Here is a 27854-nt window from a genome sequence, read left to right as displayed (position 1 = left end):
ATAGCAAAGACTTGGAACCAACTCAAATGCCCATCAATGATAGACTGGATAAAGAAAAAGTGGCACATATACACCATGGAATACTATGCAGCCATGAAAAAGAATGAGCTCATGTCCTTTGCAGGGACATGGATGAAGCTGGAAGCCATCATTCTCAGCAAACTAACACGGGAACAGAAAACAAACTGCATGTTCTCACTCATAAGTGGGAGTTGAACAATGAGAACACATGGACACAGGGAGGGGAACAACACACACCGGGGCCAGTCAGGGGGTGGGGGACAAGGGGAGGGAGAGCATTAGGACAAATACTTAACGCATGCAGGGCTTAAACCTAGATAACGGGTTGATAGGTACAGCAAACCACCACAGCACATGTATACCTATGTAAAAAACCTGCACATTCTGCACATGTATCCCGGAACTTAAAATAATTTTTTTAAATTGTGTTTGTTACTAAACCTACTGCAGGAGCAAAAACACTGAGGAAGTCAGCCATCTGAAAACCAAGGGCAGGGTGCCTGCCTACCGCTGCGTCTTAATCAGCACAGCAGAGAATTTCTGCCCCTCCCCACCTCACATCGTCGAGCTGACTAGAACAAGAGCAGCAGAACAGGAGAGTGACATGCAGAAAGACACTCTCCAAGGTGTAGTGCAGAGGGTAGGTCCAAAGCTGATGTCAAGCAGGTATTCCTCTGACAAACCAAACTGCACCCTAAAATATGAGGTACTTCCGCAGGAAGTGACGGCTGTGCTGCATGGAGGGCAGCAATAGCAACAATGAACTTCAAACCTAGCCCAACTTCTACCTAGAGTAACTCAAGCCCCCAACAGCAAAAGCCTACCCGTAGAAAAAGCAGAAACAGCACCATTTCCAGAGGGAAGAAAAAATGATGTTCATTTCTACAGTTCTACACAAGATGTCCAGCTTTCAAGAGAAAATTATAAAGTGAAGAAAAAGGCAAAAAGAACACACTTCCAAGAGACAGCAATACTAACTAGTCTCAGCTATGACACAGATGCTGGAACTATCAGACATGGACTTTTTAAAAGAAAATTATGCTTAATACGTTGATGTCTCTAATTGCATAAGGTATACAATGTAACAGATGAGATGAGGTGTGCAGTAGATGGGGTCAGATGAAAACCTTCACAGGAGACATGGAGAGAACTGGAAGCACCAAGTCAAAATGTCAGAAACAAAACTGTCCTAACAAAGGTGAGCAACGGCCTCAGCGGGCTCCTCAGGAAACTCAGTGCAGGGATGAAAGAATCACTGAAGCTGGAGGTAGGTAACAGAAATTACCCAAACTGAAACACAGAGGAAAACAGAGTGAGAACAAAAAAAGGAACCAAACAGGAATGGGGCATCTAAGAGCTGTGGGTCGATGTCAACATACGTGAAATGGAATCTAAGGAGGAGAAGAGAAAGAGAGAAAGAGTAGGGTGGAATAAATAATAATTAATACCCTTATTAAATAGCCTAAAATAATAGCCTAAATAAATTAAAAATAAATAATAGACTAGAATTTTCTAAAATTAATTACAGACACCAAGCTATAGGTCCAAGAAGCCCAGAGAATACCAAACAACCAAGTAGGTTAAATATCAGCACACACTCACACATGCACACACACAGAGGCATTTTCTATTTGAAATTAAAATAAAATTAAAATGAATTTAAATGAAAACAAAATTTTATATTTGAAATTAAAATAATAAAGGCAAAGAGAACATCTTGAAGGCAGCCAGAGAAAAGGCAAATTATATAGAGGAACAAGGTTAGAATTACAACAGACTTCTCATCAGAAACCACATAAGAGAGCCAGACTGCAAATATTGTAGACTTTGCAGGTCACATGGTCTCTGTTGCACCTACTCTACTCTGCCATTAATTATAGTGCAAAAGCAGCTGTGGACAAGATATAACCAAATGGGCATAACTTTGCTCCAATAAGACTTGATTTACAACACAAGTGCCAGAACAGATATGGCCCATGTGTCATTGTTTACCAATCCCAGGTCTAAAGCAAAAACAGTAGCAATGCTCTGTATGTTAACTGCATATGTGAAAGTAAAAGCAGACAGGATTGGAGGAAAGACTTGGGAATATATGATTGTAAGGTCTTCCCCCTTTACATAAAGTGTTATAAGTATTATTTTAAGGTAAATTATACTTTTTTCCACTTCTTTAAAATTTTACTTTAAGTTCTGGGATACATGTGCAGAACGTGCAGGTTTGTTACATAGGTATACATGTGCCATGGTGGTTTGCTGCACCTATCAACCCATCATCTAGGTTTTAAGCCCCACATGCATTAAGTATTTGTCCTAATGCTCTCCCTCCTCTTGCCCCCGTTCCCCGACAGGCCCTGGTGTATGATGTTCCCCTCCCCGTGTTCATGTGTTCTCATTGTTCGATCTGGACATAGGCATAGGCAAAGACTTCATGACTAAAACACCAAAAGCAATTGCAACAAAAGCCAAAATTGACAAATGGGATCTAATCAAACTAAAGAGCTTCTGCACAGCAAAAGAAACTGGCATCAGAGTGAACGGGCAACCTACAGAATGGGAGAAAATTTTTGCAAGCTACTCATCTCATGAAGGTCTAATATCCAGAATCTACAAGGAACTTATACATATTTTAAGATAAATTATAATTAAAGATATGAATTAGAGGTATTTGAGCAATCACTAAAAAGTATTTAAGAGATATATAGAATAAATCAATAGGGAGATAAAATAGAATTATAAAAGTATTTAGTTAACCCAAGTGAAGGGAAAAAAAGAGAAAAAAAACAAAGAACAGATAGCACAAATATAAAACAGCTAGGCCAGGTGCAATGGCTCATACCTGTGATCCCAGCACTTTGGGAGGCAGACGGCTTGAGCTCAGGAGTTCAAGACCAGCCTGGGCAACATGGTGAAACCCCATCTCTACCAAAAATACAAAAACTTAGCTGGGTGGGGTGGCATGCATCTGTGGTCCCAGCTACTTGGGAGGCTGAGGTGGGAGGGTTGCTTGGAACCTGGGGAGGGGGAGGTTACAGTGGGTCAAGATCATGCCAGTGCATTCTAGCCTGGATGACAGAATGAGACTCTGTCTAAAAATTTTTTTTAATAAAACAAGTAGTAAGATAGAGGATTTAAACCAGCTATGTCAAAAATCACAATGAATATACCAGTTAAAAGACAGAGATTGTCAGATTGGATAAAAAAGCGAGACCCAGCTGTATAATGTCTACAGGAAACCTACCTTAAATATTAGCACGGAACTGTGATGTGGATACATGACTCTATGCATTGGTCCAAACTCACAGAATGCTACACTACGAAGAATATTACTGTTATATAAATGTTAAAAACCAAATGGGATGTGGTAGTAAAGATGGCATGCAGACTGACAAGTGAATCTCTCGGTATCACACATGAATCTCATAACCACACAAAGGAGAGCAGAGTAGAAAGGAGCTGGCCTAAGTGACTCTGGCAAAAAGTGTTTCAACTGGGTGCCATAATGCAGAAGACAAAAAAACTGTACAGCAAACCCACAAAATCCCTGGATACAAAAAGTCAGCCCTCCGCATCTGCAGATTCTGCATCTCACGAATGCTGTATTTGTCGACCTGCGGTTGGTTGAATCCATGGATGTGGAACTGGTGGATATGGAGGGCTAACTGTACTTTATTTGGGTACTAGGATTGAAAAAATAAGCAAATCAATTTCAGATAATAGAAGCAGAGTTTCTCACTGTTGGAGAAAGAAGTTGCAAATAAGGAAAGTGGGAAACTGAATGTACCTTGTGGTCTGAATTGGAGTCAGATATAAACTCGTGGACTTTAAAATATAGAAAGATAATAGATAAGACGGATGTATGGATAAAGTAGAGGTGCATGTGTGTATTCATGGTTCCTATAATAAATATATTTTCTCTTTTCCACTGAGAGGGACTAGAAACAGTGACACCCCACTAGCAGTGAGCACACAAGCACCCCACGTCTTGGTTTTCCAATAAAAAGGGTCACTGGAGAACTGACTGATTCCAGGGCCAGAGTAGACAAAATGCCACATGAGCCTGGAGGATCTTATGGTAAGGAGGTGCCAAAAAGTAAAGAAAAGAAACAAGCGAGCAAAGATGTTGAAAGAACACAGGAAATTAGATTAGAACCGAAATAAATTTTAAGATATATAAATCCATACTGATGTAAGTAATAACTGAATAAAACAATGAATGGTGAAGACGCTACTTTTCCTTAAAGAAGAATTCCAGTTAGTACATGTAGAAAGAAAGAGGGAAACAGAAAATCACCATTAGAATGCCCCATTAATCACTACTGCAGCAGGATCCACTAAGGGAAGCTAAGGCGAATGGACGAAGGTAAAGAAAAGAGGGGATATTAACATAGTCTCAAACATTTCTAGCGATTAAAAGGGAAATTACAGTAGAAAACCTGGGAGACACCCCTTTAATCAAGTGTTCAGGGTTGACAACTCCAGCATGGCATGTCTGCACCATGTGCCCAACAGGCACTGAAAAGGGCACGTTCCTTTGTGGCCTTCATCCCAATAATGCATAATCGTGAAAACATTATACAAACCTGAATTGGGGGACCCTCTAACAAGATGACTGACAAGCACGCTTCAAAAGTGTCAAGATCATGAAAGACTAGGAGAGAATAGGGAACTGTCACAGCTTGGAGGAGACTGCAGAGGCATGACAACTCACTACATTGAGGATCGTAGATCAGATCTTGGACCAGAAAACCTACACTAGTAGAAAAACTGGCAACATTTGAATCAATTCTATGGCTTATTTTAAAAAAATAACTGGCTCAACATTGCCACATATGCCTACTATCACATGATTGCTAAAGTCCCAGAGGCTCGAGGAGTTTGGGAGGGGGAGGAGGGCTGAGAGGGTGCTGGGGTGGGAAGAGAGGCTGAAGCTGCTCTTAAACAGATGGGATCTGATCCAGACCTGGAGGAGCTTTGGACGACAACCAGGACAGATGAGCAGAGAAGAGATGGGGGGCGGGGGAGAGCGTGGCTGGGAGTAACAGTGGAGCAACACGTTTAGCAAACCTTAGGTAATGGGAAAGTTCAAAACGTGTTTAGGATTCACTTGCAGGTTATCACACAGCCCTATGGGTTTGTTGAGGTGTTAATATGGGAAGACAGATGGAGACCGATTCGTCATGGCCTCAGATGGCAGCCTAAGGAGTTAGCGTTTTGTCCTGAAGGTCCGGGAGAGCCATTAAAAGCTTCTAAGCAGGAAGTAAAACATTATGAAACCTCTGTTTTATTAAATGAATCTGGCTATGGCGGACATTTCATATGCCGGGCAGCAGCTGAGGTAGAAAGGGCTTCTATGATGGTCCAGATGCTTGGTGATCAGGTCAAGCTATGGCTGTGAATTGATTGCCATGGAGAACTGATGAAGGGACAGTGCATTTCCATCATCTTGAGTCTATGAGAATGGATCACTCCAGCAATAACGCTGCCAGTCACCACACAGGCTCAAGGTGGGGCCACAGTAGCCTCTCTGCCGTGCGTTAACTCCTGATCCCGCCCTTTGAGATGAGAGTCCTTGTAGCTTTATCTCTTAAATGTCCTTCTTGGATTTAGGAAAGCTGAATCTTCATTTGTTTCCACATTCATCCATAAAAGAAGGGCCAGAAATCCAGGGAGAAAAAAGTGATTCCGGGATTGTGCCCACGTGTTTCCCTGCCAGGAGCCTCAGAGTGTCAGACCACACTGGCTGGCTGTTTCAAAAAGTCTCTGACAGCCACCTTTTCCCAACTCAGAAACAAAACAGAACAAACAAAAAAATCCATGACTTTAAAATCCCAATGGAATTGCGCTTCCTATAAATGTGTGTTTGCTGATTGTTTTTGCATGATTAATGGTTCCCAGGGTTACATAAAATTCTAGGGACCCCTCTTTCCCATGGAAAGGGAAAGAGGATCAAGTCAGGAAAGGGTTAGGGGGCCCAGAGACAGATGTCGCCTACTTCCAACCATGCTGTGGGCTCTCTCTGAGTCCTGGTTTAGGAATTGAAGTTCCGGTACCTATTGTTCTCATCCCTCTAAAAGGAATTAGGCTCTGAGGATTCCTGTCAGGATCCAACTTGGGGAGTTCCCTGTCCCTGAAAATACTCTCAACATCACAGGCTGGCCCATGCATCTAATGGCAATTCCTTAGCATTCCACATGTTTGTTTGTTTGTTTTTGTTTTTGTTTTTGTTTTTGAGACGGAGTCTCGCTCTGTCCCCCAGGCTGGAGTGCAGTGGCACAATCTCAGCTCAATGCAGGCTCTGCCTCCTGGGTTCACGCCATTCTCCTGCCTCAGCCTCCCAAGTAGCTGGGACTACAGGCGCCCGCCAACACGCCCGGCTAATGTTTTGTATTTTTAGTAGAGATGGGATTTCACTGTTTTAGCCGGGATGGTCTCGATCTCCTGACCTTGTGATCCGCCCGCCTCGGCCTCCCTAAGTGCTGGGTTACAGGTGTGAGCCACCGCGCCCGGCCACGCATTCCCCATGTTAATAAAATATTGGGGGGAAAATTATTGTCTACATTAGAATTTTATAAATGTGAACCATAGTTTATCATTCTTACAAGAATTCCTTGAGAAAGCATCCAGTTACACTGAAAAGCTGGCAAGACCTGTCTAAAAGCCCAGAGCGAACCAGCAAACAGAATCAAAACTCCCTGTCTTGTTGCACAGCTCCAGTCTCCCCAAATTCCAGTCACTGCCCCCTTCAGCAAGCCAGGGCCTGAGAAGCCCGATGGGGGACACATTGACCTGTGTCACCGGGAAGCTCTGGAAGCATCGTGATTCCCCACCCTCCCTGCCTGCCCTTTACCTTAGCTTTCAGAGGAAAGTCTCATCTCCCCATCAGAAGGCACATTGTCAGGACCTGGCTCAGCTTCCATTAACTTCAGATAAAGGCCCCTGCTCATGCGAACCTGGGTCTCCTGGTGGATTCTCCTTTTTCTTCTGATTTTCTAGTTCTCAGCAGGCTGGGCCACTGCTGGGTGGCTGCTGTTAGGACAGGCATGGCTGGCCCCGGTCTTGCCCTTCATCTCTCTTCCCTCCTGTTCCTTCCCTCAGGCTGCCTCCTCGCCTCCCATCCTCTCTCCCTCTCCAGCTTGCTTTCATCCATGCCCTGCGCATGGGCTCTCCTGGGAAAGGCCATTGTTGGGCGGCAGGATTCTGATGCCCCCCACGGGGACTATGACATCAGCATTTGGTGGTGTTCAGAGGAGGAGAGAAAGAGATGAAGAGGAGTGAGCCAGGTTTCAGGAGGGGGCACGCAGGAGACCAGCCCTGGATTCAGACTTGAGCCTGGTCCACACCAGAGGCCGATAGAAGGCTTGGATTACAGCAGGGGCAGGTTCTTTCACGAAATCAAATTTCTCCACTGATTTCTGAATTCATAGCAAGCTAACTAGAAGAGATTTTTAATTCAGAATGCTGCACTCCAAAAAACTGAGAAAGACATTGAGGGAGGGAATATGGAAATTTGATGGTATCTCGGCTAAGTTTGATATTGAGATTTTTGTAATAAATGTTGTTGAATAAAAAAGGCATCAAGATGCCTAAATCAGAGAGATAAAATGAAGAATAATTACAGTATACAATTTTTGAATTATTGTCCAATCAACTAAAATTAGAAGTTTTTAACATGCTAAAATGGAAAGTTATTCAACAGAATGGAATCCTTTAAAATATGATGGAACTGCCACTTAAGCATCAGAAGTCTGCTCAGGTGTGACCCTGGGAGCCCAAACTTTTCACGGAACAGCAAGGAACATCCCTGTGCTCCTCCTTCCCAGTCTCTTTTTTTTTCAGAGGGAGTCTCGCTCTGTTGCCCAGGCTGGAGTGCAGTGGCGAGATCTCAGCTCACTGCAAGCTCCGTCTCCCGGGTTCACGCCATTCTCCTGCCTCAGCCTGCCGAGTAGCTGGGACAACAGGCGCCAGCCACCATGCCCAGGTAATTTTTTGTATTTTTAATAGAGATGGGGTTTCACCATGTTAGCCAGGATGATCTCGATCTCCTGACCTCGTGATCTGCCCGTCTCAGCCTCCAAAAGTGCTGGGATTACAGGCATGAGCCACTGCACCCAGCCCGCCTTCCCAGTCTTTACATAGATGCTTAGGATTCAAGGGGGTTTTCTTCTCATTAGCAAGACTTAGGCACAATCACTATGCCTAGTACCAAATCTCTACATTCAGGAAAGAAGGTGCAACTTAGAAATATCAGTTCATGAACCATGGGTCATCTCACTCTTTGGGAAAACACAGAGTCAAGCCAACTCTCTTGATCTTCCAGGCATACAAAACCTGCCTTGCCTCTCCCCAGTTTGAACAGTGCTTTTGAACTTTGATGGAAAAGCCACATTTGGAAGGTAAATTCTTACAGGGAAGAGATTTTTTTTCTTTTGTCTCTAGTTCATGGTACCTTGGATAGATGTGTGTTCACTGCAGAGTCCTACAAAGTATGCTCTAATGTTCAAAGGCAGGGTAGTAGGTTCTAGTAACAGCGTGGGATTTGCACATGCTTTGTTGACTTTTTATTATGCAACAGCACCTTTTAAGTCATGTGCTAATCTAGCACATTCAGTTGTCCTATATGAGAGTGTGATTGTTCCTAAAATATTCACCAATCATTTGTTCTAAGTGCTAGGCTCTTCTGTAGTATTTTCAGATCTTCCTTATTAAAATTTGGGAGCTAAAAAACATCCACTTGCTTCTGAAATCATGATTCTCATCCTCAAAAGTGTACAGTATTCTACTGAGACTGAAAGGGGTGTTACTGAAGCCTGCATGTTCAATGGGCTACAAGATTCTGGCTTATGTAACACTCCCGCCAGCCTTAGTAGAGTAAGATCATGTAGCTTTGCATTTTCCCAACCCTGTGATCTTGGGCTGCACAAATACACACCTATTAGCCTGAAACAAAGGAATTCATTTCCCCTGGGCTTCTCTGCAGGTCATACCACCCTTGACAAACTGCAGTCCCTACTGGCCATTACACTGCAGAGCCGTGACAATGATGGATCTCCTGTTTGGAAGAGAATGACCCAGGACAAAAGGGGTGACCAAACCATGGTCTAAGTGTGATATCTGAAGCTGCTTAATCTGCAAAAGGAAACCCAGTGTGAGGAATGGGAGATGGAGATGTGGAGGCCTAGTGTCTAAGGGCTGGCATTCAGGGGAAGAATTACATTTGTCTGTAATCTCAAAGGCTAGGAAGGATGGAGCTGGGTGGATTTGGGATCACCATGAAAAGGACCTATGAGTAAGTCAGGCCTGCGTAGAGGTGATCTGGAAGCCCCCAGCTGCACCCTCAATTGGAAAGGGGCTGTGGAGGGGTCTTGAACATGACTTAGCAAATGGAGCTAGATTCCTTCAATGCTCCATCCAGCCATAAATCAATGAAATAGCTCCCTCCTTCTTTTTCTCTGCCTTCCAAACTGAACTACTGTATCTCTTGCAAAACCAATTGGATAATTCTGTGTTAAGCTTCCTGTCTCCCACCCTGAGCAACCACAGATGAATGATGGTTGTTGCAGAGATGGGCAAGTCTGGCTTCTGAGAGCTGCCATTGAACTTCTCTGTGCTGAGCTGGCATTAGCTCCTCTCCTCTCCCCTCCCCACCCTGCTTAGAGAATCCTCTCCACATTTGGAGGTTTGTGTCACCCTTCTACGTGACCAGGGCTTCTGTCCCATGAGAAGAGAAGGGACAGGAGGACTCTGTCTGAAAGTTCTGAGTTGTAGATTTGCCCATGGGCCAGACATCAGGCTCTGTCCATGAGGTGACCCAAGTCACCAGAGGAAAAGTGTCTGTCCCCAATCTCCACATTAAATTTGCCTTGGGCCTCAACCAAACTCAATGTTTTTTCCTCCTAGAACAGTGAGGATAGAGACCCAGTTAAAAAAAAATCCCACAAGTCTTTCTGGAGTCTGGGGTGTGCTGGACAGGGTGTGAGGAACTGGGGACCTGGGTTCTGGTTAGTTCTCTGTCCCTTACTATGAGACCCTGCACAAGTCACCTGGGGAACTCGGTCCTTACACTGGACAGTGACACAATGGGAAACAGAGGACCACCAGGACACATTTTAGCCATGGCCTATAATTAACATCTCTATGATGTGACTTCACAGGCACAGATCATCTTGCATCCTCACCCCTGACACACACACACACACACACACACACACACACACACACACACACACGCATGCAGTACAGTAACTGTCAATCTCAGGTCCAAGATACCCCAGCGCATCTCTATTCATCTCAAGGGATATTGATATCATTTCATAAGAAGGAATTAATGCGAATTCACCTGATTTTAAAATAGGTAACATCCCGCCCAATATTTTCTCCTCTCCCTCCCCTGGGGACGTGGAAGTGAAGATTCAGGCACAGCTAACCCAATTGGAGGGAGTTCTAAGCAGAGTACAGCACAGTCTAGATAAGGAATCAGTTGGGAGTTTCTGGAATCTCAAATGGAAGAGAGGGAGGCAGTCAGAGAGCAGGGCGTGGGCAGACAAGGACTCGCCCTGTCCTAACATTACTCAGTCTGAATTCTCTTCTCTCGCACCTTGCTTCATATGCCTAACCTGACACCGTACATCTGCTTGGTCTTTGCTCAACTCAGCTGCAGCATCCTCGGGAGACAGCTGGATCAGCCAGAGAGCTTCAGAAAGACACACATCACTCTGCCAGACACACACACTGCTCCAGCTCCAGCATCCAACATCTGACCACATGTCGGCAGCCACTGCTGACCTGGCTCCACCATTTCTCCCCAGGTCTAAGCTTAAGCCGCACTGCATTGCTTCCATTTCTTCATGCTTGCTCTGTTCCCTTCTACCACAGGGGCTTTGTGCAAGCTCAGCCTCAACATGGATCTTCCCCCTTCTTCACCTGGTCAACAGCCACTCATTCTTCAACCTTAGTTCGAGCATCATCAACCTCCCCCGCTATGTCAGTTCTCCCTGTTAGACACCCTGGCTGTTCCACATATCTTTTATTCAAAGTAGTTACATATTAAAGCATTCCATTTGTGCATACAATTATTGTAGAATTACTTCCCAGCAGACAGATGCTATAGGAGGGAAGAGACCTTTTCTGCTTAAGTATCTAGTGCAGTGCCTGGCCCTTAATAGGTGCTCAACAAAAATTTTTAAATGAATGCTTAAATACCATATCATGGGTCATGTCTGGTTGCAAAAAGATATTCATCATAATAAAAATAATAAACTATAATTAAAATATACTCATCATCATAAAAATAAATGAACTAGGCAGATACTGGTGTTAAAGGTATCACTGCCTTTATTGTGGGCCATTTTAGGATGCAAGGCACAGTAGGGGTAAACAATTAAGAGAGACTTCTGTAGTCTAGGAATACAAGAGCTAGTAAATATATAATGTCTCCAGCAAGAGAAAGGAGGACAAGCAAGTCGGAGCAAGCTGCCCACTGGGGTGGGAGAAGGGAATGATAAAAGGGAGGATTGGAAATATACACCAAAATGCACCATTCATACAACGTTTCTATTCACAACTCAGAATTCACTGAACAAAAAATGACCATTCTGTATACGATTCCAATTAAATGCATTATTGTTGTATCTGATTGTGCTAGTGCCTGTCGCTAATCCATGCCACAATGATTCATGCTTTAAAAAAAAAAAAAAAAAAAGAAGCAATTGGTTATAACAGCCACCACAGTGCATTTCTAGATAAGAGCTCAGTGACTGTTAAGGGGCACCTGCGTAAGAGCTCCATTAACAATGCTAGGCAAGGAAGAAAACCCCAGGGCAGATGCCAGACGGAGCAAGAGACAAACATGCATTTATTTTCCGTTTACTCCAGATAACTCATTAAATTTCAAGGAAACTTCAGAATTTAAAACTCACAGCAATGTAAAGAACAGGAGGGGCATCTTCAATGGAGAAGATACTTCATCAAATTTGGAAAGTGAAAGCAAAGGGAAAGTCTGACTAAAATAACATAGAGCAAGCTATACCCTGGACTTCCTGCAAAGGGGGCTTCAGTGAGGGAGGGGCCCATCTGCCTACAGAACTCAAGCAGGCACTGGCCTCAGGAGCCCCAGATAACAGCCAGCTCCTGGACTTTTTATTCCAGAATGAACTCTACCAGTTGGATCTTCCAGGCAAGCTTTTTATCCTGTTCATGCTAAATAAAAACAACCACAAAGTGCCAGGCATTTGAGGAAACCCTGCAATGTGAAAGAGGAAAAATAACAAACAGGGGAAACAATTCCAGAATAAATAAAAATAATGAAGGGAATAGAAGAGAAATTACTAGGAAAAAAAATTCCCAGATCAGAAGCTCAGATTTGGGTTGCTATTTCATTCATAAAACAAAAACAGAATAATGCTGTAAAGAAGAAATAATTAGAGAACAAAAAAAGAAGTTTGAAAAGTAAACAATTTGGATTATGAAAATAATAACAATAGAAAGTGAAATTTATAAAATCTGCCAAATCACAGACCAAAAAAGTCGGGCAATAGAAGATAAAAGAGATAGAGAACCACTCCTTGCGTCCTTAGCCACCACCCTTTGCTTGTTTTTCCATTTTCCTTTCATCTCTCGGAATATCTCATCAGCTGATATCTATTAGAGGAGAAGGGAATTGTCCCCCAAGAGACTAAGTTCTGAGCAGATGAATGAAAAACGGCTACCTCAAGGCACATCAGTGTGAAGTTTCAGAACACAAAGAGTTAGCAGAAGATCCTAAAAGCTTCCAGTAGGAAAAAATAAGATAAAAGCTCACCTACAAAGAAACCAAAGCCAGACAGGCGTAGAAGGAACATTTGCTGCTAGAAGGTAATGGAACAATGTGTACAAAATTCTGTGAGAACTGAACATCAACCTCAAATTCTAAATTCAACCCAACTCAAATGTAAAGCCAAATTAGAGATTAAGACATGCAAGCATTCAAAGTATATCTCCACACACCTGTAATCCCAGTACTTTGGGAGGCAGAGGCAGGCAGATCACTTGAGGTCAGGAGTTTGAGACCAGCCTGACCAACATGGTGAAACCCTGTCTCTACCAAAAATACAAAAAAAATTAGCTGGGCATGGTAGTGGGCACCTGTAATCCCAGCTACTCGGGAGGCTAAGGCAGGTGAATCACTTGAACTCAGGAGATGAAGTCTGCAGTGAGCTGAGATCGCTCCACTGCACTCCAGCCTGGGCGACAGAGCAAGACTCCATCTCAAATATATATATATATCCTGACCCCCTTTTCCTGAGAGGTTACCTGGAAATGTACTCCAGCTTTTGCTTATTGTAAAAGAGGAAACTAAGAAAGAAGAAAATAGCAATCCGGTCACAGTGGCTCCAGTGAGGACCTCCCAAGAGGACAGCTCTGTGGGAGGACTTAGGAGCAAGCAGGAAGAGAGAGATCTCCTGGAGAGAGGTCCTGGGAAAACAGGGTTACCTACACAGGGAGCTGTCAGTCTGGGGAAACTAGAGAGTGTGATAAAGGCACTAAAAGCAAGGAAGCAATGGAAAGAACTAGAAACTACTGAAAGAGAGCAACTTCTTGTAGAGGTAGAATAGTGCTTAAGAACAAGGTCTCTGGACATCTGTGGGTTTGAATTCTAACCCTGCCACTTTCTAGCTGTGTGACCTTGAGCAAATGACTCAGCCTCTCTGTGCTTGGTTTGTCAGCTCTCAAACAGAAATCATAATGGGACCAACTTAGAAGGCCGTTGTGAGGAATAAATGAGTTATTATTTCTAATGCTCTTAGAAAAAAAAAAACCTGTCACCTGATTTGTGGTATATAAGATTTGCTAAATAATTTTTTTTAAAAATTCTAAAAGCCATATGAAAAATATGGTCGTCCAAATAGAAGGAATAGATTCCAATGGTAACAAGGTTACAGGCTTAAAAATAAAGAATGCGATGATTTCCACGTGATAGGCTAATGTCAAAGTTTAAGGACATTCTGTGTTTGGAGGGTGGGGGGATGGGCAGGTAGTGGTATTTCTTCTAACAATAAAAAAGAGAGGCAAATATAACCTCCAGGAAAAACACCCCCCATATCTCTCCCCGCCAAGAAAACTCTTTACAAGTAAGGCAGTATCTGAACATAGAACAAACTAAAATATGATGAGATTACACATAAATGCTAGATTATGAGAAAGAAGATCATTGGCATTTGATGCTCTGTAGAATCAGCCAGACCCTCCTCTATCAGGTGTGAATCCACAGGGCAATGTGCAAAGACGCATCAATTAACTGGGTAGGAACAGGAGACTGCGGCCTTCATTGTGAGCCAGTATTTCCCAGTTGATTCTATAGAACCAGCCACATAAATCGCTTTGATCACATGTTTCAAAAATAAATGTAAATCTAGACAAAGTTTCACTTCCTCCCCCGACAAAACATGCTCCCTCCAAGAAAACTAAAATTTAGGTCCAGTCCTTTCCCAACCTAAAGACAAGAAATAAAAGAAATAAGCAAAATATGGTTTCCAGTAACTGGGCCAGGATAAGCTAGAATTCTGGGAATTGTTGTTCTTATTAGAAATGTCGCAATCAAAGTACACATCAGCCAAGAGGGAGGCACAACGTGAATGGTGTTGCTTCTGGTGTAGCAATTTGTCCCAGCATTCCAGGTCTTTTGCTGTCTTGAATCTTGTTTGGGGATAGAGCCGGGGGAGGTGGGTTGGTGAGTGTGTATTTCGTTGAGTTTCTGTATTTCACAGCTAGATTCTTCAAACCAAGAGCTTGACCTCTTAGAAAAACTTTCCCTCAAACATGTCTCCAGTCCATGGAGAATTAATCGCTGGCTTCTCTGCACTCACGAGTCCACAGGCAACCCTGTCATAGCACCTGACACACGGCACCATCATTATGATCCCACTACCCCCTCCCCTGCTTGGTGAACTCCAGAAGGAAAAGACTAACCATGACACACTCATCACTGTGTCCCCAGTGCCTAGTACAGTGGCACAGTCACTAGGAAGGAGGGAGAGAGGGGGACAGTGTCAGGGAGAGGGACAGAGAGAGAGAGGAGACTGGGAGAGAGAGAGTGAACGAGAGGGAGAGGGAGAGCAGGAGGAGAGAGAGACTTTGAGTCTTACTTTCGCCCCTATTGCCCTTCCTCCTCATTTTTGGTTTTCTCATTACTAAACATTCCTGGAATTTAGGAACCTACCTTCTGCGGACAGCGGGACACAACAATGATCAATGCCGGGATAGAAGGAGAGGTGTGGGTTGGAAGCCTGCCTGATGCCCCAGCCACCTCCCCATGCCATGCGCCCTCCAGCGTGAGTCTGTCCACCTTGCACACCTGATCCGCACCGTCCACTGTGGACTGCAGTTCGGTGTTTCCAGCCCAGACCTTGTCCCTTGGCTCCAGACCATGCATCCAACTGCCAGCTGGTCACCTGCCTTGGGAAGTTCCATGAGCAGTTCACACTCAGCCAGGCTAACAGTGGACCCCAAGCTGCCCCCCTGCCTCCAGGTCCACCCCTATAGCTGTACTCTCACAGGACTGCAGATCTGGAGGGGACATTGCCTGCTTGGGGCCTTTCAATCCACCTGCCCCGGCCCCCTGTATACCATTACCTGTAGGATAAAGTTCAAGGTCCTCAGAAAAGCAGACGAGGCCTCCTGGTCATCGGTACCCATCCTCCTCCTCCATTTTCATCCCCTCTTCCAATCACATCCCCCAAATCTCAAAGACACTGTGCTGTTTCTTACCTCTGTGCTTGGCCAACTGGTATGGCTCTTTCAATACCCTGCAGAACACTCACCTTCTCTTGGAAGCATTTTTCTGAAATTGCTTCTGAACCCCCCACCCACACAAGCTGATACAAGCCCTACTTCTCCTCTCCCATGAGGCCCATGGTGGACAGCAAGCACTTTCTGCTCAGGATTCACTGAAATCCTGCTGTACGCATGTGGAATGCAACTCAGAGAAGTCAGGTAACTTGCTCAATGTCACACATGCTGTAAGTGGCAGAGCCATGGCCCAGATTTTGCACTCCTGATCCAACACCCCTACCATGGATGGCGGACGCTTTCTGTAATTTCACCTTTGAAGCAGGAGCCTCCTGCTTGGCGCCTCCCGTCCTGAGCTCCCTGTATTGCTGGGAGCCCAGCTCTGTGCAGGGTGGGGATGGAGGCCAGCGGATTGCCTTTCCTTACCTGCCTCTCGTGTGTCCTGCACGTGGGGCCAGAAGCTGGGGTGGAAACATGGTAGCCATGGGCTCCTGCCCCACAGTCTGGAGAATGGGACTGAACCACGGGAAGCTGCCCGAGGCCGCCTCCATGACTATGTGGCCTGCGCTCCCACCCACAGGTGAAGGGGGTCACTTACTTCAATTTCCTGCACCTTCTCACAGAGCGGAGCTTCTCTCCCTCCAGGCATAACTGCCACTAACTGCTCTCTCCTCAGGATTCCTGGCCTCCATTTGGCCCCAGTCCCTGCCAATCCCCTTGGAAATAAAACTTCTGCTCCTCACAGAGTGCCCAGGCCAGGCCTTCCTTGCAGCCTTCTTCATCCATGTCACTGACGCCTCTGGATTCGTCTCAACGACGAACCTCTCACTCTGCCTGCGGCCGCGCTGAGCCTCAGGTGTCCTCTGCAAATCCTTAGTCCACACTCTGTTTCAGTGTCCCTTTCTAACTGTGGGCTCCTCGAGGGTGGAGACTAAGTGTTACTTTTGTTCCGTAGCCACAAGGCTTGGACCAGGCCACAGTAGGGACACTAAGCATTCCAGCGTCATCACTTCTACCCTGGATCATTCCACAGCCCCTCTGGAACCTCCCTATCCACACACGCTGCCTCCAGCCTCTTCCCCACAGTGGAAGCATCTCAGGGGTAAGATCTGTGGGCCTGTAGCAAATTACATGATGCCCCTGAAGCTTCAGCTATAGCTCCAGGGCAGGGTGAAGGCCCGAGGAGAAAGGAACGGGAGACAGAGTTTGGGACCACCTCTGGGAGTGGGGCGAGGGAGGGTGTAAACAAAATATCCCCCCACCCAAACAACAGTGGCTCAGAGAGTTTGAGGAGTGAGGGTAGTGATGGCCTTTGGGCTGTGGAACATGGGGTCTAGGAAGAGCCAAAAAGACAGCCTCGGGGGCAGACAGAGAGCAAAGCATGAAAAACAATCCCAGAGATGCTGAAGGGGCTGCACCAAAGCCTGGGAACCAGGTGCAAGGCAAAGAGGCTGCGGTGGGAGGAAGAGGCAGAATCTGGGGAAGGGCCTTGAGGGGCTCAGGGCGTGAGGCAAGGGCTCTCATTAGTCATGTGCAACTGCATTTGCGGTAAGGATCGTCCAGTAAAGGCAACCAATGACATGAGTGTGAATGCAGACCTCTTCCTCTTGGCACTGGGGAGCCATTGAAGGCTTTTTAATCAGGGAGGTGACAAACTCCTTTCTCTGCCTGGAGGAGGATTCATCTCAGGAAGAAGAGATTAGAAACCAGCCAAAATGTTCACAGCTCCATGGGGAGCTAATCAAGCATCCAGCAAGTGCTGCGGGCAATCTCTGAAAGCATCAGCGGAAAGGAATAGGCCTGCCTTGGAGACTGCAGATAGCCATGGCGACAAACCACAGCTGGACATGGAGTATTTTCTCTAATCTTAAAATGTAAAAGCATAACAACGACATTCTATCACAGCGGCACTCACGTTAATGTTTGAAGACCATACATTTCGAATCCACCCAGGGTCTCTCATTATTGGAATCTGAAAAACAAAAACATTAGAAATTAATTAATAGAAATGTTCTGGAATTAGGTGGTGGTAATGGTTGCATAACTTTGCCAATATACTAAAAACTCACTGAACTCTACATTTTGAACATGGTGAATTCGGTGGTATGTAGGCTATATGCCAATTAAAAAAAAACTAAATTAAGAAGAAGAATGTGTGACCGGGCACAGTGGCTCATGCCTGTAATCCCAGCACTTTGGAAGGCCAAAGCAGGCAGATCACCTGAGGTCAGGAGTTTGAGATCAGCCTGGCCAACATGGCAAAACCCTGTCTCTACTAAAAATACAAAAATTAGCTTGGCATGGTGCTGGGCAGCTATAATCCCAGCTATTCAGGAGGCTGAGGCAGGAGAATCACTTGAACCCTGGGGGCGGAGGTTGCAGTGAGCCGAGATAGTGCCACTTCACTCCAGCCTGAGCAAAAGAGTGAAAATCCATCTCAAACAAACACAAAGAATGTGGTGTCTTTTCTTTGAGCACATTCAACTATGATGTGTCAATTACATAGGGTGCGTTATGAGGTTGGAAACTCCCTGTCTCTCTGACTCTTTCACTCTTTCTCCATCTTCATGTCTTCCCCAAAGCACATGGATCATAAGAAGGTCAGGCTGCATGAGAAAATGATGGGATTGGAAGGCAGAAGACATGACTCAAGTGCTGCCTCTGCTGTTTCTTAGCCACAGGGCTTGTTTTCTTACCTGTAAAATGTGGGTAACAATAACCCCTGCCCTGCCAAGTGACAGGAGTTATTGTGAGCATTAAGTGAGCTCATTTAGGCAAAAGGGCAAAGCCCAATTCAGGTACTAGCTATTAGGACTGTTGGCATGGCGTTATCCTAGCAGGTAGGACATATGCAGTAGTCCTTTCTCACAAGTGTCCCAGTTAGAACTACACAAAGGGCACAGGGAGTAGGCCCAGCCTTCCTAAGGGATGTATTGTCCTAGGCCTAAAATTCTACTAAAATTATACTCAAAAACATGTGTGCTCTGAGTTCAACTGCCAGCAGCCCAGAATAAACAGCCCCAGAAGCCCCTAAACCTCTTCCCCTGTCCTGTTCCTCCTTGGCCCTGCACCCCACCTCATATTCATCTGACCCACTTAGCTTTTCCAGCACATATTTGTTGACTGACTGTTAGTTAATGGTGTTGCTTTACATCATGACATAGAATAGCTCTAGGGGTCATGTACTTCGCTAGGTACTGGGAACACAGCAACAAATGAGATGCAAATCTTGTCCGTAAGTCACTCATAAGCTAGTGGAGGGCAGGAAGACAAGTAACAAAGATCTCTGTGGCCAGGGCTACCATCAAGATATGCCCAGGGTCCAGAGAGAGCACAGAGGAGGCAGCCAAGCATCTGCCTGTGGGGAATGTAGGGAAGGTTCGTGCCTTCTGCAGGAGGGGACAGTTGAACTGCCTCTGCAGGGTGAGTGGGAACTCTGGGAGAGGAGAGGACAAGAAAGGCCGCTCCAGGCAGAGCAGAGAGCATATTCAAAATAACAAAGTCATCGCACATATGTTGGGAACAGCACGGTGCCCCTCATGATTCCAGAGTAGTTGAGCACATGCAGTGGGCATAAGGGGATGCCGGGGGGATCAGGGGGCAAGGAGGCAGGGGTGAGTGAGGCCGGCATGGCGAAGGCCTCGCGTGCTCCCAGGAGGACCTCTGGCCTTGTGCTCTAAGCCGGCCAGTTTCATTTTTTTAAGAATGCCCTCCTCAAACAACAACTCTTGCTGGAGCACATTATGTAATTAGAAAAAAGGGAAATGGCTATGGTCAAATGGGGAAGGGGACTGGAGTCTTGGCTACAGAAAACCTGAGGCTCTCAGAGCAGTGTGAGAGCAGTCACTGTGCACCACTGGGGATTACAGAGGAGGAGAGGGATGATCAAATCTGTGTCTTACAAGGACCACACTGACCTCCGCATGGAGGATGGATTCGAGGCAGAGAAGTGAATTTGAAGGTTATTCTAGCAAAGGATCGCTGGGATATGGACCAAGGTGATGACAGTGGGACAAAGAGGAAGATGAGCTCTGAACACAACCACATGATGGAATCACCAGGAAATGATATGCAACTTGGATTGGGGGGTTGAAGTACAGGGAATTTTCAAGGATGCCTGAAGTTTCTAGTCTGGGTGACTAGGTAGATGATTATATCATTCACTAAATTAGGAAAGCAAGAGGGATGAATTTAGGGAGGAATATTCTAGTCTCTTGGAACCACACCCAAAATAAAAAGGATAGATTTTCCTTTAAGACAGAACCAGGGAAAGAAGGCAGATGTGTGTTATAGGATTGTATCCAATCTGGATCCTTGCTGGGGTAGCAGGGGTAAGGCCATTGATTTCTTCATCTATACGTTGCTTAATATGGCAGCTAATGAAGTCCTCATTTCAACTGAGCAATGCATTTGAAACACTTCTTGGAATCCAGTTGCTGCTTCTATTTCAGCTCCTGTGGAATATTTCAGCATGCTGCAAAAAGTCATGCAACTTGGGTACAGATATTCTGGACCATCCAACCCAAATTCTTCAGGGGCCACCAACACAGTCACACGGGCACCAGAATTCTCTGTGTACAATAGTTGGATTGATTTTGCACTCACGAGGTAGGCTAGGAAGGCTGCCAGCAGTTTAAATTCACAGTGTTTGGATTTGGCCCTGATTCAAAATGAAGTTTTAAATCAAATACAAGATATATTCTTGGACTGCCAGAGGAGCAATATCTCTGACCCCCAAGAGTCTGGTTTGAATTCAGAGATTAAATATAAACACAAGAACACCAAAAATGGTGACCCAGTATATTTCAACAATAATTTCTTTCACAGCTAAGTAGAAAATAGGCTCATTCTGCCCACAACTATTTGTTGTAATTCAAAATTCCAACATAAAGTGTGAAGCTCAGCCATTTGGATTCTGGCATCAAGCAGTTGGCAGTCACGGTGGAAGCCAAAAATGAACCTGGCTTTGAATTCCAGTTCTTCTACTAGGAGCTGTGTGGCCTTTGGCAAGAAATTACCTTTCTAAGCCTCAATATTCTCATTTCTAAAGAAAGGCTAACAATAAAATACTTACCTCATAGAACTGATGTGAGAATCAAAAGACAGAATACTGTGAAAACAGTAACGTACCATACAGATGTCAGTGGCTACTCCTGGATGAAGGTCATGAAGTGGAAGATTCAAGGTCAGAAGTAGGTGAGCATCTTCAGAGCAGCTGGTTTGCTTCTACCTTGCTTGAACCTTGAGCTGTATGACTGTTCAGGTCCTTGTTCAGTGCATTGGCTGCCAGAGCCACATTCCTGTTCTCGGTGTGAGTCAGACTCCATGAAACACATGCTTGTGTTAACCTCCTTCTCAACTCTATTGTTTGTCTTGATTTCTTTCTTCCTTTTCTTTCTCATTTAACATAGACTTATGTGACGCTATGGATTAAATATTTGTGTCCCCACCCACACCCCTGCCACCATAAATGCATATATTGAAGTTGTAATCCCTAAGGTGATGGTATTTGGAGGTGTGGTCTTGCAGAAGGTGGGGGCTGATTAGGTGATGAAGATGGAGCCTTCAGAAATTGGATTACTACCCTTATAAGGGTAGGAGAAAGATAATCTCACTCTGCTATGTAAGTTCTGCTATGAGAGTCAGATGGAAAATGTACTTGAAAGTGACCAGCTCACGGCAGATACTCAATGAAGCTGAAATTGAATTCCCATCACAGCCTCATTAAGATTAAGACCCAGGTCACAGTTCCTTGTAATCTTCATGTAGCTGGGCTCACTGCTACCGTTCTTGCCATGATTTGCTGGAAGTCACATATCTGGAGCCTACGTCCAAATTCACATTCAGGTCTGTGGGACTCCAAAGCTCTTGCTGCTGTTTCATTGATGGTGCAACATTTAAACAGCAGAAATCTCACAAACACAGAAGGAAAAGAGAGAATTCAGAGAGTAATGTTTCCAGATTATCAGGCTCAAAGTCGTGGGCTGCTCCCAGTTTACAAATGGGTTGTCCAACGTTCATTTGTAGATTTTTGTAAAAGCAGGGTAACATTTTCATATAGAAACGGTACTACCAAAGTCAGCTTTTCCAGGACAAGAGAGGCAGAGAAAACTATAGCATTACTGAAGAAACAATGGCAGCATATAACTCGGGACCTAAAAGCATTATGGTTGGTTTATACAGTCTGCTTTCATGGGAAAACCCATTCACAGTCCAATGGAGGATTCCAGGAATGTGTGGGAACTGTCCAAAATGTGAGAGGAGAACCCTGGCCTGGGGATCAGGCAATCCAGGCTTTAGCGCTGGTGTCGCTAACTTGTTGCAAGGCATCGACAAGGTACCGCCCTTCTCTGGGTCTCAGTTTTTCCATCTAACGGAGGCTCGAGTTACACTCAGTGGTTTCTAAGGGTTTTCATCTCCAAAATTCTGCATCTACATGCATACACCCTCCTACACCATGATTCCAACAATGATACCCCCTTTCTTTGGTAGCCTGGTACCCTCTGTTGAGATAAAGGAAGAGGATAAAGGAAGGTTTGCTCTGAGTAGGGGGGAGATGGGGTGAAAGGGATGATGTTTTATGTAAGAGGACTCCTCCTGGGACAGTTCTGGCAAATCTGATGAGATAACCACTTGTGGTCCCCAGCATGGGTTTTGGAGTCAAACTGTGTAGAATGATCTAGGGTAGAATGCTGGCTTCACCACTTACCATCTGTGTGGTCTTGAGCAATTCATTTAATATTCCTGAGCCTCCATTTCCCCTCTATAAAAGGGGAACAATAATAACAATAATAATAGTAGTAGCTTTGTCATAGGGCCCTTGTGAGGATTAAAGAAGATACTTAATGTCAAGTGCTCAATATATATTCGTTATCATCATCATTGTCATCATCATCACCAACATCATCATCATCACCTTCCCTTCCTCCCATTGAGAGGTGGATAAACTGGGTTCTAACTCTAACCCTGGCTTGCTGGGTGACTTTGGCAAGTTTTTCCCCCTCTTTGGGTCAGCTTTCTTACGTATCAAATGCCTGGATTATACCAAAGCAAGGGTACCTAACTGGCCAAGTGCAACACAGCTGGTCTCCATCTCCTGTGCCTCCTGCTCCATTGAGCACATCACACCACATCATTCCCCACTGAAAACCTTTCATGGCTCCCCATTGCCCAGGAGTTAAGGCCCAGGTCTGGCATGCATGGCCCTGCATGATCCACTCCTGCCTGCCCCCTTGCCTCAGCTCCTCTCCCATGCCTCACTCTCCACTCCCGGGACATGTACAGGGTTCCCATCTCAGTGACTAGGCTCCCCTGCTTCCTCCCAGTCGAAGGTTGACCCTCCACCCAAATCTGTCCTTGGAGTCATTTCCATGACTCAAAACCCAGCTCTCCATGGGGCCTTCTCAGAGTCCCCCCCTTGGCAAATAATCACCCTCCTCTGTGCTGACTCAGCATTCCAAAGAGAAGGCCACAGTGCAGTAGGCAAAAAGTGAAATTGATGAGAGTCAAGCTGCTGGATTCCAGCTGTCGGGGGGCCAACAGTGAAGGGTAATGCCCATTCCCTGGGTGGCTGAAGGCAGATCACTGCTCCTCTTAGGGCCTAGTTTCCTTCTCTGTCCTGTTAGTTAGGAGAGATGACCTCCAAGGGTCTAGGTGAAGGTTGCTGCCCCACTGCCTGACACAGCTGGTCTCGGATGCGGATCTGATGTGAAACTGTGATCATCACTCAGGATCTTTCTCAGTGAAGCCCAGTTCAGTTCACTTCCCCAGGATTTTCTCACATGAAACTCCTGAAGTCCAGCCAGGCTTCTCTAAGGGGCCTACCCAGTCATAATTAGCGGAGACCACTCACTCATCATTGAAACACATCAGAAGAGTCATTTGAAGGAAGTAATCATGCCTGGCTCAATGGTAAGGTCCATCCCAGCAGGCAGGTGAGCACCTGTGGTGCTCACAGAAGCAGCAGCGCTTGGTTGGGACAGGCCCCAGCCACTCCCTTTCTCCCCTCCCAAGCCACATCCAGTCACAAGCAAATCCTGCAGCTCCACCTCCAGTGGGGGACCCCGAGCACTTCTCCCCGTGCGTGCACCACCACCCAGTCCCAGCCACGCTGCTCTCTCCCGCAGCTCCAGCAATGGCTCCACAGCCAGTCTGTTTCTGCTCCTCATCAGCTCTGCTCCTCACAGCAGCCACAGGAACCTTCTGGAATGTTAGATCACACCACTCCTCAGCTCAAAACTTCCCGTGCTCCCCGGTCTGCTCAGTAAATTCCAGGGCCCTACAGTGGCCTCAGGGGGTCTGGCCACGGTTCCGGACTCACCTCCTGCCACCTCTTCATCATCCATGGTGGCTTCTTCCACCTCAGAGACTGTGCATGAGCTGTTCCTCTGCCTGGCAGATTCTCCCTAAGCCTCCTTCTCTCACTTCATGCTGGTCTCTGTTCCAGTGACCCTTCCTGGAAGGAACTTCCTTGGTCCATCTGATCATCCCCCGTCTCCTTACCCTGCTGTCTTTTTCTTCTTAGCACTTTATCAGTATCTGACGTTAGATCATTATTCTTTGTTTTCTGTTTTTCCTACTAAAATATAGGACCTTCCTTTCTCTCCTGCCATACTCCCAGCACCTGTGATAATGCCTCACGTGTAACAGGCTCTAAGAGGTGCTGTATGGCTAATTGCTACAAAGGTAACGTTTAGTCAGTACCCATGCTCTTTCACCAAAGCTATTTCCACTTTTTAATGACAGTCATAAAGTTTTAGAACTGGGAGGAAGAGCTCTTTTTGGCCCTTTTGATATTTTGATAAAAGCTATGAATCCTCTCTCCACAAAATGCACATTCACCCAGAAACCTGCACATCATTTTAGGGGTCTCAAAAACCTGTCAGATTACCTAGAAACATCTTTTAGTTAATGAGCCCCCAGATATAGACCACCTCCTCACCCCACGCTCCAAGAGGGTAAGTGCTTGCTCAAGGTCACACAGCTCTAACCTGGTGGGAGTTCCCCAGATTATCATGGCAATGGAAAGAGAATTCATACTCAAGGGAATTGGATCTAAGCCCTTGTTATAATATTTAATAATGCTTGGTCTTGAGTAGGTCTTGAGCACCTTATGTCTTAGAAGTTCCATTTCTTCAGTTATAAAATGAGCTTAATAGTACTTCCTCCATCTTCCCAGATAGCAAGGGCAGTTTGAATGCTTCTAATGTGTGCACCTCTGACCACTCTCTAAGTTCATCTAATGACATTGGGCCCACCCAGGTAATCCAGGATAATCTCCCTATTTTAAGGCCAGTGATGAGTAACCTTAATTCCAACTGCAACCCTCATTCTTTCCTTTACCACCCAATGTAATTTATTCACAGGTTCCAAGGATGAGGATGGGGCATCTTTGGGGGACCACTATTCTGCCTGCCTCCTAATGGGCTTGCCCACACCTCCCTGTACCACCCTGCAGTTCACTCGCCTTGCTGCAGCCGAAGTCTTCTTTTTGTAACACAATCTGGTTATGTCACCATATTAGTCCATTTTCACACTGCTGATAAAGACATACCCAAGACTGGGCAATTTACAAAAGAAAAGGGTTTAATGAATTTAACAGTTCCACATGGCTGGGGAGGCCTCACAATCATGTTGGAAGGCAAAGAGGAGCAAGTCACATCTTAAGTGGATGGCGACAGGAAAAGAGAGAGCTTGTGCAGGGAAACTCTCATTTTTAAAACCATCAGATCTTGCGAGATTCATTCGCTATCACAAGAACAGTGCAGGAAAGACCTGCCCCCATAATTCAATTACCTCCCACTGGGTTCCTCCCACAACACATGGGAATTGTGGGAGTTACAATTCAAGATGAAATTTGGATAGGAACACAGCCAAACCCTATCAGTCACCTCTATGATTAAAGCCATTATATAACTTCCCACTGCTTTTAGAAGTAAATATAAAAAAAGCATGCAATTTTCTAAACCCTCCTGAACTTGGTGAACAGTTTTCACCCACACTTGCAGTCTCATTTCCCACTTGCTCCCTTTGATCTCTCTGGCCCAGTCACACTAGCATTTCAACCCCTCCTATTCAGCTTACTACATCCAGCCCCACAGCCTTTGCACATGCTACTCTCCCTGTCCGAGACACGCTTCCACTGGATAGCCTCTCTTCACCCCCCAGGCCACAGCCAAGTGTCCCTTCCTCATAGGGGCTGTCCCTGGCCTCCTCAACCTGCTCACATCCTGACTGCACCTTCTCACAGGGCACTGTTGTAGCTCCTTCATGGCACTTAGCGCAGTTTGCAAATTTACATTTGTTTGCGTACTCAGCTGATGACAGCATCCTTCAAAAGGAACAGTGCCTGTTGGTCTCATCATTGTGTTCACAGCAGTGGCTGGCACACGGTAGTCAATAAGCACTTGTTGAATGGAAAAATAAAGGTGATTTTTTTTTCAATATACAGTTGAGCTCAGAAGGTCAAAGGACTTGGCCGAGGCAACCCAGCTAAAGTGTTGGGGGATGGGTGAGCTGGGATTTGACCCAAGTTTGACTGACTTCAAAGCCACAACACCACACCATCTGCATTTCAGGCTACTATTTATGGGAGGGGGCTGGAGATGGCTTTATTCATCAAATTTTCCCAGTGAAAAAGATGAAGGTGGTATTGATCTCTGTAGCCCTCAAGGGGCTTCATGCCTTGGGCTTTTGTCTGATCAATCCTGTGGCCGGTAACCAGTGGAAGTTCCCACAAGTAACATGTGGAAGTTCTCCTCTGTTCCTGGTTATGTCCTCCTGGCCACTTTGAGAGGTGAGCTCCTCCAGGCCTCGCCATTGACCAGTGATGACTAGCTAGTCCCCAGTGTCCAGTGTTCACCCAGACATCTGACACATAAGTGTGTGTGGCCTCTGGAGGTATTCAGATAGCAGGATCCCCGGCAGAGGAAACTCCATGGAGCAGAGCCCTGCAGGGGATCCCGGGGAGATAGAGGACCCAGGGCTGGGGATCCCAGCTGTGTGACTGTGAGACATTTACCCCCTTGTCTTGGCCTCATTGTCCCTGAGTGTACAATGAGGGGCTGGATGCATGGTGCTTCCTGCTAGAACATTCTGTGATTCTAGTGAGTATCTAGCACAATCTTTGATTCCAGACTTCATGGACACTCCACATAGAAGAGACCCTAGATATAACTAGATTTAGTATGTGGAAGGGACTTGAATTTAAGTCCCAGAATAGAAATCTCTGCCCATTAGAAGTGACCTCCAGTGCGGGCTGCTACCCAAGCCTCATATCCCACTGGACACATCACAATCCAGGGTGGTGATGTGCTACCCCGCTCTGCCTCCCCCGGGTGGGGCCTCACAGTTGCCACTATTTCAGGCCCAGATGCAACCACAAAAGTGAGTTCAATATGGAAGGCTTAAGCTTCACATGAGATGCATGTGTGTGCATATATTAGATTAAAGATGGCTTCAAATTCTTTGCTACTCCTTCCGTTGAGAGATAAAGTCTCATAACCCTCCCCTTAAATCTGAGCTAACCTAAGTGACTTGCTTGACCAATAACATGCAGGACAAGTGACATTCTTCATCTTCTGAGGCTAGGTCATAAGAAGCCTAAAGCACCCTCCCCATTCTGGGGGATGCCAGCTACCAGGTAAGAGGTCTGACTACCATGAGATGCCAAGCCTGAGAGGCTTTGTGTGCTGAATCCTGTCAATGGTCCCAGGTGAGCCTTCCAGCCACCCCCACCAAGGCAGCAGTCAGGTCAGGGAAGCCATCCTGACCCTTCCAGGCCAGCCCATCCACCAGTCACATACCGCAGAGTCATCTCAGTCAATGCCATGAGGAACAGAAAAATCACCCAGCTGAGCCCAGATTCCTGACCCATTAAATCATGAGCTATAATAAAATAATTATTGTTTTAAGCCACTAAATCTTGAGTCAGTTTGTTTTGGAGGGATAACTAGAATAGAACATGTATGTGGGGGGAGGAGGAAGGGAGGCAGGTCTAGTTTGTGTGTTTCTGTGTGTAACTGCATCTATGTATTTGTATCATGATGAGGACAGACTAGTTGTGTCTATTT

At 45.6% G+C, this 27854-nt stretch overlaps 1 protein-coding gene and 1 long non-coding RNA gene across 6 annotated transcripts in view; one reads left to right on the top strand and one right to left on the bottom strand.

Moving 5' to 3' along the window:
- Positions 1–27854, bottom strand: part of LPIN1 (lipin 1) — a 149866-nt gene that overhangs the window by 95899 nt on the left and 26113 nt on the right. For 2 of the 4 annotated variants that reach the window (NM_001261428.3, NM_001349208.2), the window contains exon 2: positions 17699–17755. The exons of 1 other annotated variant lie outside the window; for it this stretch is intronic. In NM_001261428.3, coding sequence (NP_001248357.1) covers positions 17699–17755 — 57 coding nt within the window. Of the gene's footprint in view, positions 1–6971; positions 7197–17698; positions 17756–27854 lie in introns of those variants that run through there. One more of the 4 variants, NM_001261427.3, reaches the window with a different exon arrangement.
- On the top strand, positions 7288–11278 carry LOC101929752 (uncharacterized). Of its 2 annotated transcripts, none has more exons than NR_187661.1 (4): positions 7288–7399; positions 7858–7999; positions 8339–8414; positions 10673–11278. It is a non-coding gene; the product is annotated as an uncharacterized LOC101929752 (long non-coding RNA). The 2 variants fall into 2 exon arrangements; NR_187660.1 differs by adding an exon at positions 8999–9166 and having other exon boundaries at positions 7288–7999.

Source organism: Homo sapiens, chromosome 2 (assembly GCF_000001405.40).
Source record: "Homo sapiens chromosome 2, GRCh38.p14 Primary Assembly".
Lineage (NCBI taxonomy): Eukaryota > Metazoa > Chordata > Mammalia > Primates > Hominidae > Homo > Homo sapiens.
Note: the sequence above shows the minus strand (reverse complement) of the source record. Positions and strands in the feature narration are given on the sequence as shown.